The sequence below is a fragment of the Homo sapiens genome, chromosome 3 (assembly GCF_000001405.40).
Source record: "Homo sapiens chromosome 3, GRCh38.p14 Primary Assembly".
NCBI lineage: Eukaryota > Metazoa > Chordata > Mammalia > Primates > Hominidae > Homo > Homo sapiens.
Window position 1 is genome coordinate 25,653,318 of NC_000003.12, and position 13,184 is coordinate 25,666,501.

At 39.7% G+C, this 13,184-nt stretch overlaps 1 protein-coding gene and 1 non-coding gene across 6 annotated transcripts in view, besides 4 other annotated features; both read right to left on the reverse strand.

Moving 5' to 3' along the window:
• The window catches only part of TOP2B (DNA topoisomerase II beta), a 67,003-nt gene extending 55,413 nt beyond the window's left edge, over window positions 1–11,590 (reverse strand). For 4 of the 5 annotated variants that reach the window (XM_047448821.1, XM_011534057.4, NM_001330700.2 and 1 more), the window contains exon 1: window positions 10,912–11,590. In XM_047448821.1, the coding sequence (XP_047304777.1) occupies window positions 10,912–10,980 (69 nt within the window). In that variant the 5' untranslated portion in view covers window positions 10,981–11,590. The remainder of the gene's footprint in view (window positions 1–10,911) is intronic. The other variant, NM_001068.3, reaches the window with a different exon arrangement.
• Window positions 10,240–10,369: an enhancer, noted in NCBI's record as "active region_19608". NCBI's record gives its function as "activates an Ori minimal core promoter by ATAC-STARR-seq in GM12878 lymphoblastoid cells {active_cell/tissue: GM12878}" and the evidence as "EXISTENCE:reporter gene assay evidence [ECO:0000049][PMID:35858748]".
• Window positions 10,657–10,845: a silencer, noted in NCBI's record as "fragment chr3:25705465-25705653 (GRCh37/hg19 assembly coordinates)". NCBI's record gives its function as "represses an EF-1alpha promoter that drives an FKBP-Casp9 reporter gene in an ReSE screen in HepG2 liver carcinoma cells {active_cell/tissue: HepG2}" and the evidence as "EXISTENCE:reporter gene assay evidence [ECO:0000049][PMID:32094911]".
• Window positions 10,800–11,159: a silencer, noted in NCBI's record as "silent region_14146". NCBI's record gives its function as "represses an Ori minimal core promoter by ATAC-STARR-seq in GM12878 lymphoblastoid cells {active_cell/tissue: GM12878}" and the evidence as "EXISTENCE:reporter gene assay evidence [ECO:0000049][PMID:35858748]".
• Window positions 11,327–11,890: an enhancer, noted in NCBI's record as "H3K27ac hESC enhancer chr3:25706135-25706698 (GRCh37/hg19 assembly coordinates)". NCBI's record gives its function as "activates a minimal SCP1, AML or CMV promoter by ChIP-STARR-seq in primed H9 embryonic stem cells {active_cell/tissue: H9 hESC(primed)}" and the evidence as "EXISTENCE:reporter gene assay evidence [ECO:0000049][PMID:30033119]".
• MIR4442 (microRNA 4442) lies at window positions 11,556–11,622 on the reverse strand. Its single transcript, NR_039644.1, has one exon. It is a non-coding gene; the product is annotated as a microRNA 4442 (primary transcript).

Genomic DNA, 13,184 nt, shown 5'->3' on the forward strand with positions numbered 1-13,184 from the left:
AAGAGGACTACAGAACAATACCCGTGATAAAGACTGATGCAAAAAATCCCCCCAAAAATACTGGCAAACTCAATTCAATAGCACTTTTTTTTTTTAAGAGAGGGTCTCATTTTGTTGCCCACACTGGAGTGCAGTGGCATGACAATGGCTCACTGCAGCCTCAACCTCCCAGGCTCAAGTGATCCTCCCACCTCAGCACACCCACCCTCCTCCTTAATACCCCACAACCCCTGCCCCAAGTAGCTAGTACTACAACTGTGTGCCTCCACACCTGGCTAATTTTAAAATTTCTTCTAGAGACAAGGTTTTACCATATTGTCCAGGATGGTCTTAAACTCCTGGCCGCAAGCGATTCTCCTGCATTGGCCTCCCAAAGTGCTGGGATTACAGGCAGGAGCCACCATGCCTGACCCAACAGCACATTAAAAGGATTACACACAATAAGCAAATGGGATTTATACTTGAAATGCAAGGATGTTTCCAAATATGAAAACAAATCATTGTACTACACTATATTAACAAAATGAAGGGCAAAAAACACATTATCATCTCAATTGATGTGCAAAAAGCATTTGACAAAATTCAACACACTTTCCTGATAAAAACACATAACAAACTAGAAATAGAAAGAAAACACCTCAATATAATAAAAGCAATACACACAAAGCCAACAGCTAACAGCACATATACTGGTGAAAGACTAAAAACTTTTCCTCTAAGATCAGGAGGAACAAGGCAAGGATGCCCAATATTATCAATATTCAAGATAGTATTAGAAGTCCTAGTCAGAGCAATTAAGACAAGAAAAGGAAATAAAAGGCATAGAAATTGGAAAAGAAGTAGAATTATGCTCACAAATGGCATAATCTTATAGTAGATAACCCAAAAGATTCCACAGAAAAACTATTACAACTAATAAATGATTTCAGCAAGTTGCAGGATACAAAAATTGGTTATGTTTTCATGCAGTAACCATGACCAATCAAAAAAGGAAATTATGAAAACAATCCCATTTACTATAGCATCAAAAAGGATAAACTACCACAGAGTAAACTTAACCAAAGAGGTGAGAATAATGTCAAAATACAAAACATTGTTAAAAGAAATGAAAAAAAGATACCAATAAATGGAAGGGCATTCCATTCTCATGGATTTAAAAGCTTAAAATATTGTTAAAATGTCCAAACTATCCAAAGTGATCTACAGATTCAATGCCATTCCTACCAAAATCCCAATGGTATTTTTTGCAGAAATACAAAAAAAAATCTAAAATTCATATGGAATCTCAAGAGGACCCATAGAGCTAAATCAGTCTTTAATCAGAAGAATAAAGCTAAAGGCCTCACACCTCCTGATTTCAAAACCTGATTTTACTACAGAACAACAGAAATCTAAAACAGTGTGGCACTGGCATACAGACAGAAGAGAGAGCACAGAAATAAACCCTTACATAAAAGGCCAAATGATTTTTCACAAGAATGCCAAGACTACACAGTGGGGAAAGGACAGTCTCTTCAACAAATGGTGCTGGGAAAACTGGATAACAAGCAAAAGAATGAAGTTGGACTCTCATGCCACATACAAAAATTAACATAGATTAAAGACCTAAAAGTAATACCTAAAACTCTGAAACTCCTAGAAGGAAACATAAAGGAAAACCTTTGAGACACTGGATTTGGCAATGATTTCATGGATATGGCACCAAAATCACAGGCAACAAAAGCAAAAATAGACAAACAGGACACCAAACTTAAGAATTTCTGTGCACCAAAGAAAACAACTGACAGAGTGAAAAGGCAGCGTATGGAATGGAGAAAATATCTGTAAACCATCAAATGGTTAATATCCAAAATAGATAAGGAGCTTCTATAACTCGACAATAACAAAATAACCCCATTCAAATGGATAAAGGATTTCAATAGACAATTCTCCAAATAAGATATGCAAATGGTCAACAGCATATGAAAAGATAATCAACATTACTAATAAGAGAAATGAAAATCAAAACCACAATAAGATATCACCTCACACCTATTAAGACAGCCATCAGAAAATAACTGTTGGTAAGGATGTGGAGAAACTGGAACATTTCTACACTGTTGGTGAGAATATAAAATGCTAGAAAAATGCTACAGCCATTATGGAAATAGTGTGGAGGTTCCTCAAAAAATTAAAAATAGAATTACTATATGATCCAGCAATCCCACTTTTGGGTATATATCCAAAAGAATTCAAAGCAAAATCTCAAAGAGATATTTGCACACCCATGTTCATCACGGTATTATTCATAATAGCCAAAAGGCGAGGCAACCCAAATGTTCACTGGTGTATGAATGGATTTTTAAAATGCGTATATAGATACAATGGAGTATTATGCAGCCTCAAAAAACATGGAAATCTTGTCATGTGCTATAACATGGATGAACCTCAAGGATATTATGCTAAACAAAATAAGCCAGTCACAAAGGACAAATACTGTATGATTACAATCATATAAAGTATCCACAGTAATCAAAATCATAGAAACAGAAAGTAGAAAGGTGGTTAACCAAGGGCTGGGGGGAGAGGGAATTAGTGTTTAGTAGATATAGTTTCAGTTTGGGAAAATGAAATACTTCTAGAGATCTGTTGCTTAACAATGTAAATATATTTAACACTACCGAACTCTACACTTAATGGCTAAGACAGTAAATTTAATGTTGTATTTTTTTACAACAAAAAAAATTGAACATGTGAAATGTAGATGACTTTGTCTAATATTATTTGTAATTTTCTCTAGGAAGAACATAGAAATACTGTAAAATAAGTGTGATGAATGTGTGACAATACACTTTTTTCTAAATATCATATGACAACTATTGAGGAAAGAAAAAGATATACCATTCTATTTAAAGTCAGGAAAAGCCTTAAGGGATACACATTATTTATAGAATACAATGGAAGTCATTTGCAGATATTTCAAATCAACTGCCAATTATAATATCAAACAACTTATAAAACCTAGGGCATGGTGCCATAGGCCTGTCGTCCCAGCTACTCTGGAGTCTGAGACCGGAGGATCAATCCCCTGAGCCCAGGAATTTGAGACCAGCCTGGGTGATAGCAAGCCTCCATCACAAAAATAAATAAATAAATAAATAGATAAAAAACAAACAAAAATCCTTAATATAAACCCTTAAACTTGGACGTTTCAATGAGTAAATAAGTCTATAATTACTATACTAAAAATAATTGGTGTTAATCTTTTATTGCTCTAGTTTTTATAGAAAATTTATATTAGTAAAGATAATCAAGTATGTTTAAATTAGTAGTTTATCAAAATGGCACTGTTTAGTGGGCATTACAAAGGAGTATATATAAAACATGAGCCCATTTTTGTCAGAAAAAAATTATGCATAATATATGCATGCATAGGAAAAAATGTGAAATATGCCCAACAGAATATCAATAAAAATTATCTATAGAGTAGAAATACATGCCACTTTTATCTTTTCTACACCTTTTCTAAATTTCTACAATGAATGCATAAAGAAATATGTTAAAGGCTTATTAACCCAAGTATGTGAAAACATAATTAAGCTAGAATAAAACTGAAGGTTTCTTTTCCTAGAGGCAATGTTTACACCTATTTATTACTTCTGCAACCCCAACTTTCTCACTAGAGGCTATGCAAAAACAAAATCAAAATACACAAATAAGATTGGCAGCCTTGGCAGAGTAGAAAGTAGAAATTAACACTAGAATCCAATTTGTCTTTTACGTTCCCATTCTCAACAAATGGTAATTTACATTGCTCACTGGCTCACTAGTGGCAAACACAGGAGGTTCTCCCCTGAGACTTTTATATGTTTTTGTAACAGAAACCTGAAATAATAGTCTCTTTCAACTCCTGTTTGTCAGCAGAAAGTTGTCCCCTGAGCAATGTCCAGGTCACTAAAAATCAAAATCTGGGGTAAGGGGAGAGAGGGCAACTTACCCAGTTAATATGATGATCCCATCCCTAGAACAGGTATGCATATTTAATACAAACCACCTTTGGCCTTAGAAGAGAGAAGCTAAATGAGAAACCTATTCTGCACCTTCTCCCTTGCTGTTATCATCACTATCTCTATCTCTTAAAAAAAATGTCACCCTGGGTAGCTCTTCAATTTTAACACTCTTGCTGACAATATTCAGAAAAGAGAACAGCAAATTGCCTTGAACAACCACAAACTAGCAAACTCCTATCTGCATGTTTATAAAAGCACCTCAACTTTACAGATCATAAAAGAGAGTGATGTATATCTGACACATGCAGGCTAACAGAATTATACTCACTTTAGACCCAGAAGAGTCTTTTGATTTTACCTCTTTTTATTCTTATATGTTCACAGTAATAAGATATCATGTTCTATAGCAATTGCTCACAGTACTCCACATTGAATAAAAATTAACAACATGCCTTTAAAAATAATAATTCACCGGCTGGGCGCGGTGGCTGACGCCTGTAATCCCAGCACTTTGGAAGGCTGAGGCAGGTGGATCATCAGGTCAGGAGATCGAGACCATCCCGGCTAAAACGGTGAAACCCCGTCTCTACTAAAAATACAAAAAATTAGCCGGGCGTAGTGGCGGGCGCCTGTAGTCCCAGCTACTTGGGAGGCTGAGGCAGGAGAATGGCGTGAACCCGGGAGGCGGAGCTTGCAGTGAGCCGAGATCCCGCCACTGCACTCCAGCCTGGGCGACAGAGCGAGACTCCGTCTCAAAAAAAAAAAAAAAAAATTAGCTGGGCATGGTGGCGGGCGCCTGTAGTCCCAGCTACTCAGGAGGCTGAGGCAGGAGAATCGCCAAGAACCCGGGAGGCAGAGCTTGCAGTGAGTCGAGACAGCGCCACTGCACCCCAACCTGGGCAACAACAGAGCGAGATTCCATCTCAAAAAATATATAATAATAATTATTATTATTATTTACCAAAAGCATTTTGAATAAATTTGCGTTGAGACTAACGATTGAAAACTTGTTAAGTTTATTTGTAATTTATTTCCCTGCCTTAATTTATGTGAACAAATTACCAAACTACTGATAGTAATAAACAATGCCAGCATCCAATTAAATTGGAATCTAAAAAATCAAGGCTACATTTTCATTATCATGAAGACAATAAAAGTGTAAAATAATCACCATATTAAATTTCCTACACATATCTAAAAGTTGTTTTAATTATATTCTTTTTCATTTATAAATATGATGATAACATCATTGACTTTTTCTGAATTTCAAGTCAGCTGCCAAATTAAACAAAGCATTTAGGGAAAATTTAAAATTATAACAAAAATACCAAAATAACTATATAGACTATATATTTTAAATATTAACCTATCTTATGGCACTTTTGCAATATTGCTAATGCCTAATAAAAAAACAGATTTAATACTAATCCAAGATTTGATCTTTTTCAAGAACATTTCTCAGTCTTCAGAAGAAAATGGAAAACATTCCAGTAAAACTTCCTATTTTTCAGAACGACTATACACCAAGATCATTCTGCAAAACAAAACAAAAGATTCTTCAATGGACAGAATTGTCACCTGAAATATAGCAATTTGGCAGAAGCACCCAGTTTGTTTTTCTGAGGGAGAATGAATTGCTGACAAACAGGGTAAAGGAGATGGTTTGCCAGTTGGTACTAAAAAAGAACTGAGCCACTCATTCACATAATCAACACAGAAAGCTCACCATCACCAGGCCAACAAGAGTGGAAGTGGGGGCTGGCAGCCTAGCAACGAGCCCCTTCTTTTACCTTCTTCTGTACAATCCCCTCAGACTTAACACCAACCTTTTATAATGTCTCCTCTCTCTTTTCTCCCTCAAGGCTGCCATCCCATGATGTTCATTCTAACCATATTTCACCTATATGTAAATGGAGAGGCCATGTTATCTACCCACCATTAATGAAGCAAAAAGCAACAAACTGTCCCCTGTCTATGCTCCTTCAGAAATACCCTTCTAAACAAAGGGGCAAGGAAGAGATAAGAGATACTTAAGACAGTAACAAATGCTTAGACTTCTGCTATGAAAATAGGCTTTCTCTATAATAAAGGGAATGAAAATACTTATCACTGGATTAAAAAAGAAGGGAGAATGTATGTGTGAACCCATCTGGGAGCTACTATGTGCCAAGCACTACGATAATCTTAATTAATTCTTATATAGTATCTCCATGAAATAGACACTGTTATAATTCCCTTTGTACAGATGAGATAACTAAGGTTGGGATAAGTGTTTTCCCAAAGCTAACAAAACTAGTACTTGACAAAGGTGAATTATGAAACTAGATGATCTGATTTCACAGCCCATACTCTTAGCATTATGCTATACTAAGTACACATATTCTGAAAAGGAAATATACTCCTTAGCTTTTTGTATGAAAGTAAAAGGTTAGTAGAAAAAGACAGGTATATCCCAGATGTCTCCTTATTCTGTCTTATCAGAGTATAAAAGATGAGTTGTTTTGTCTTTCAATGTTTTTAAAGTTGAAGGCTGTGTAAATGTTAAGAACACTGAGTCTGGTTTAAATTCCACCTGTGCCTTAACCATGTGCCTAAGAATTTGTTACCTAATCTCTAAACCCGTTTCCTTCTCTGCAAATAGGAATAACTATAGCTACTTCAACTTTTCGTTAAAATGGGGTTCTATACGTGTTAATACTTTTAAAAATTCAAGAAGTTTATTTTTTAAAGTGTACTCAGTAAAATGCAATTGTTGCCACCACCTAACCAACAAACCTGGGATTACAGGTGAACATACTTCGATTCAGAAAAATTAAGTTTATTAAAAACGTGCCTAAATACTGCTATATCATGTACTTGAGAATGTATCTAAAAAACACTGCTACTTAAACTCTTGTCCTACTAATGACAGAAGACTTTTTAGGAAGTCAGCATGTCAATTATCCAATTTTTAAATAACTGAGACTGGATTACGTATCCAGTTCTTTGTTTAACACTCTGAAGGACATAAACAAGGAAAATACATGCTCTCTAACTTCAGAAATTTGTAATATTAAGGCAAAGTTATCATGCATGAAAGTTACATAAAAAATAAAGACTTCTGTTTTATGATTCATGAGAGTAACAAACATTCAATGAAAGAAAAAGATGAGTATCAACTGGAAAATAATAATGTGACAAGGCTCTGAGCTAGCCCTGAAGAACAGTTAAGATTTAGACTAGTAAAGAGAAGTGAAAAAGTAATTCCAGATGGAAGGCAAATATGTAAAGACAAAGTGACAAAAACAAGCCTAACTTGTGTAGGGGACAGTGAAGAGATAAATCTAACTATGGAGACTATAATAAATAAATTTCATTGGAAAGGGCACATAGTTTATGAAAGTCTGGCTCAGCAATTTAGACTCGCAACAGTAAACCACTAAAGCAAGGTTCTTAAAATAAATCTTTAAACAATATTTAAATACATAGTCATGTTTAATTAGAGATATTCACACTCCAAAAATATGTTATATATTTCAAAAAATGTGACTTTTGAGAAAACTACAATGTTATTTGTGGTTATACAGTTTTTCAAAAAGAGACTTTACTGTTAGAGATAAATACTGAAATATTTACAGAGAAAGTGATAAAATTCTAGGATTTGCTCTGCTTCAAAAGAATGAGAAGGGATAAAGTGGGTGGTCTTAGGTTGATTTTTTTTTTTTTTTTTTTGAGACGGAGTTTCACTCTTGATGCCCAGGCTGGAGTGCAATGGCGTGATCTCGGCTCACCGCAACCTCCGCCTCCAAGGTTCAAGCGATTCTCCTGCCTCAGCCTCCCGAGTAGCTGGGATTACAAGCATGCGCCACCACCCCAGCTAATTTTGTATTTTTAGTAGAGATGGGGTTTCTCCATGTTGGTCAGGCTGGTCATGAACTCCTGACCTCAGGTGATCCGCCTGCCTTGGCCTCCCAAAGTTCTGGGATTACAGGCGTGAGCCACCGCACCCGGCAGGTTGATAATTATTGAAGCTTAAGGCTAAATAGAGGGAAGCTTGTTATACTACTCTGGTTACCACTTTTTGAGATGCTTAACATTTTCCATTAAAAATTTTTTTTAATCTACCAAGTTAGAATATTGTTGGGAAAAAGATTAAGTCATATAACTGTATTCTAGTATTTCCACAAATGTCTTTGTTACAATCACTTATGATACAAGACTGACAGAATGAACCAGACTATTACTATCTACTAATCAAAGCTCTACAAAGAATTAATTCAAGAAACCCTGCTGCCTTAAGAGAAGCCTTTGTAACTGCTATACATTTTAAATCAAAATAGCTTTGCCATGTTTATATTTTTCACTTTTTTTAATTATAAAAAATTCTGGTTGAGATACTCCTACAAATCAAACACAAACCAAATGAATTATTAAAATAAGTTAATGCCAGTCCTAAAACCACTTGGCTTTGTAGTTTCAGATATTGAAAGGCAAATTTTCATGCAATGACATTAACAACACATGCTGGCATGCATCCCAACAGTAGTTAATATCAGCAACACATGGCATACAACTCCTCACCCAGAAGAAAGAAATCAGGGGCTAATTCTATTTTTATTTCTTTCTGTTACCACAAGCAGGTGGCAACATAACACTAGCTTCAATAAAGCAGACGAAGTTACCTTTCTCAAAACAGATGACCACTGCAATAAAGCCCCAACTCGTGCAAAGGAAAAATTAATTTGCTTTTACCCCAGCTAAAAGATATTTTATGTAAAAGCAACTGCAATCTATTATTTGAGTGTGCATTTCTTGAAGTTCACCAATAATAACAAACATCATTAAGCCCAGCACTGTGCTACACACGTTATCTCATTTCATTCTCAATGCAACCTTATTTGACAGATAAAAAAACAGGCTTAGAAAGGTTAGGTTCCTTGGGAAAAGTCCAACTAAATGTGTTGGAGAGACAGTATCTGAACCTACATCAGCCTGACGTCAAAGCCCATAACTACCTCACTATATTGCCTCCCATAAAATCAAACCAGTCTATATGATCAATGATGTATATTATGGACATAAAGATGCTCATATAACCTTAGAGTAAGCATCAACTCTTAAAGAAGACTTACAGGAGTGATTATCTTTTTAATAAACTTCTAATTCCATAAGATATACTCTATAAATAAAACACTAAGTGATCTTCACTTCTCTTTATTTTACTGCATTTCCCATATTTTCCATAATCTGCTTTATAATGAAAATTCCTTTAATCAATAAGTCAATTTCAGTTTCAAATGGATTTTTCTATCTTGAATGAGATGCTCCAAGTTTTGCTAAATTAGCAATGAGTTTCCTATGGAGCTTGAAAGAAATAAATTGTCATTTAATTATCTACAAAATTATATAACAGTTAATTAAAGTACTGCTATCAAATGTTAAAGCCAACAATCCACTACGGAGCAAAATGTTTACCATTATAGAACCAGAGGTCTTCAGAGGAAACACCGATCAGGCCTCAACACTTCCAAATAGTGAATGAGAACTTACAATACCATTTGGCTGTCTAAGTCAATTTTCCGATGTCTGATTTTAGTGACAGGGGTAAAAGCCATTAATTCTGAAAGTCATTATTTTGCATGTATGTGTCCATCTCCTCCTTCTTCCTCTCACATACCCTCTACTGCAAGTCCACATGGACCACTAACTTAGTATCTGACATTTTCTCTCCTGGCCCTAGTCCCTTCATACTTTCATTCTACATAATCGGAGTAATATACAACATTCAAAGAATTTCAACAATAAGAGCATGGCAAGTTATTTTGCAATGTACCCTGGCACGCAAACATAAGTGATTAAAATGTTTTGCTGCTGTCAGTAGCACCCTTTTTATAAGAAGCAGTTGTCAATATAGCACAAATTGCTATTCAACTCACCCAAACCTCACCCAAACAAAGAGAAAACGAACTAAGTAACAAAAATGCCTATATGAAAGCTCCCTTGAGGTATTTAAAACAGGGACGGGGGAACAGACCGTCAAAAGTCCAGAAAAATGTAACACTTTTTACTTTTCTCCGAAATACCTAGGTTTTCTGTATAGGAAATGACCCTGGTCTGAACTCTACGCTGAGCAAGTGAAATGCCGGCGAATTATCGATCTGTCGTGGGAATCCAGTCTCCCTTCCTCCTTCCGCTGCAGTTACTTCTACTTCCCAGCAAGAACTGAGCGTCGAAATCCTTTAACTTCAGGACTAAGCACTTCAGTCACCTCTCCAGGACATCCATTCAGCCCTCACCCCGTTACACCTGCGATGCTGACGTAGACAAGCACTTCTTTTAATAATCTCACCCTGACAGAGGGACGACCTACAGTATTAACTGCTGTGAAAGTCATCCCCAATGCGCTCTCAATTGAGCGCATTGAATGAGGCTTTCCAAATTGAAGTGCAAGTTGCTGTAGAAATCCCAATGCATTCTTCTTTGAGATTAAAGCCCCAGAAAGAGCTGCATTTAGAATACACACACACACACACCCCTTTTCCCAGGGTTTTCTTGAACTACATTTGGAGAAAATGCTGCCCCACACAGACACACTTGCATTATCGCCATCCCCACCATTTCAGGTTCGGCTGCCCCGGAAGAGTCTGGTTAAAAAGAAAAGAGAGGAAGCGGGGGCTGTATGTTACGTTCGCGGTTTTGTCCCCCCAAAGTTTCAAGTACACATTACGCTCTGGCAGTCAGGACTTCCAGAGACGTACAGAGAAAGAAAGAAAGAAAAGGCGCGGGGAGCGGGCTGGAGGATTCTGCAAGCACAGGCCCCTATGGAGCGCCCGTTCGGGGGACGGGATTTCCCTCCCTTTCCCCTCCCCCGCCCGTTCGGAATTCCGCCCCCGCCGCGGGCCCGGAACAATGCAGCCGCCCGTCCCGGGGACCAGCCACTTACCACCCAGGTCAGTGCCCCGTTGCCGCCGCCCACGCCGGCTCCCGCGCCGCAGCCACCCGACTTGGCCATGGCGAGTGCCTCCAGCTCACAGGCCCTGAGGCCGCAGCCGCCGCTCCCGCCTCCCTGCGGGCCGCTGGGCCCCGCCGCTCCGCACCCACCGCTCCACTCGCCGCACTCCTAGCCGCGCCGACCCCCGCGCCCCATCGCGAAGATCCGGAGCGGACGTCCAGCCGAGCCCGCTGAGGAGGCCGCGCCGCCGGCTGCCCTCAAACTCGAGGCGCGGCGTCCGCGTCGCCCGGGCCTAGCGCGGCGGCTGAGGAGAAAGCAGGGAGCGACCGGCGGCGGCCGAGCGGCGGCGTTGCCTTCTCGCCCGCCCGCGGGCGCCGCTGCAGGCCGGGCTGAAGCCCGGGCGTGCGAGCCGCGAGGGCGGCCGGGGAGCCCGAGGCGCTCGGACGTGGCGAGGACGCAGAGGTGCCTTGTCCTTCTCACACTCCGCGAAGGCCAGCCACTCGAGTCGCCAGAGTAGTCGTCCCGGTCGCCGCCGCTGCTTCAAAGGCAGCCTTAGCCTCGCTGCAGCCCCGATTTCCTCACACACACACACCGAGAGGGACAATAAACAGAGCCGCCGCCGCCGCCGCCACGGTCACCTCCCTCTTGTCCGGCATAACACCGCACACACACATTTGCACACCGGGGAGAGAGGGAGGGCGCGGCGGCCGCCCCCGCTGTCAGTCAGCGCCATGCTGTCCAATCCGGGCCTTGTCGCCACAGCCTCTCGGCCAATCCCAAAATTCCAAGCCCCCTGGAGGGGCGGGACCCGAGGGGGGAAACGTCATTGCGGGTAGCAACCGAAAGGAAGACTTGGGGTTTTTGTTTGTGTGTGTGTCTGTGGGTTTTCCATTTGAAGGGAGAGCAGGGGCTGCTTCAAGGGTCAATTGAGGGCGGCAAAGGGAAAGGGTCGAATTGGCCTCGGGTCGATTGTAATCCTCCAAGCGTGCTGTTTACTCTGAGACCTAACCGGGAATCCGAAGCGTTTGCCTGGGGCCTCTAAGGATGAGGATGGGGGCGGGGTGGGGATGGGGGTGGCAGGAAGAAGCCGGGGGCCGTCCCAAAGGGAAATTATTTTAAAAGAGCGGTTGTAAACCGCAGGCAAGACGTTGTAGACCACTGGTGCAAGGAGGCCCCGTGACCCGGCCTCCCCAAGGGCCTAAGTGGACGCTGCTGTCGAAAAAAATCATCTCAGACCTTCTCCATCTCCTTCTTCCGTCTCCTCCCCTCACCCCAAAAGAGCATATGGTCAGTTTCAAGAAAACTACATATGAAAAGCTTAAATGATAAGGGACACACAGAGAATGTTCTAGGGAAAGAATGCAGGGTGGGTTGAGTGTTCTATTTCTACTCTTTGTTGACCTTTCTTCTCTGAACAATGCAGAGATGTCACTGTCACTTTTCTCATCTGTCCAGAACTGTGCCCCCTGCCTCTAAGAGGGCATGCTTAATTTTTAAAACTGTTTTCAGTGGAATTTTCAAATGCACAGTAAGGAATAATTTCATTCACATTAAAGCTTTCTAAGAATGAAAATTACCAATACAGCAACATCACAGTCTTTGGCAGATGGAAGATGGCTTTACTTCTTCCTGTTTTTCAGTGTAATTCCACTCAAGTATTTATTGGGCGCACACTCTGCCACGCTGTGCCAGGCTCTGCGATGGGTTCAAAGTAAAAACAAGGCCCCTGATTTCAAACCATTTATAACCTGGCTTGTGAGACAGACTAAAAGGGAGCCAACGATCACCAAAATGAGTACTTGAAGGCATGAAGTGCCACCAAAGAGTTGTGATGAAAGCTTTTTATAAAGATGAAAACAGTATTACTGTTTTTTGAAGAGGTGTTTTTGTGAACTTCCAACTGTGCATTTCCTCTCAAGGGAAAACAAAAATGTCTCAGGTCACATCTTTAAACTGCATTCTGAGTCTAGAGGTGGAGAACTCTGAAACATGGAAATAATTTAAACATAGTTTTTTTAATTAGCTCTCTGATGGCCATGTAACTTTGCCATACTAGGGACTTCAGAACAGTGAAGCCTTTCTTTACCTTGAACTTGGGGTGCAAACTTTTCTGAACCTGACCAAGTATCCATAGCCTTGTTATTTAACTTCCCTGAGCCTCAGTTTAGTGCTTGTTAAAATGATCTTGTGTTCTTACTGTGAGTTTGCATCTCCAAGTACACATGTATTTTGTTTGAAAAGGGGTAATTTTAAAGGCAATGAGT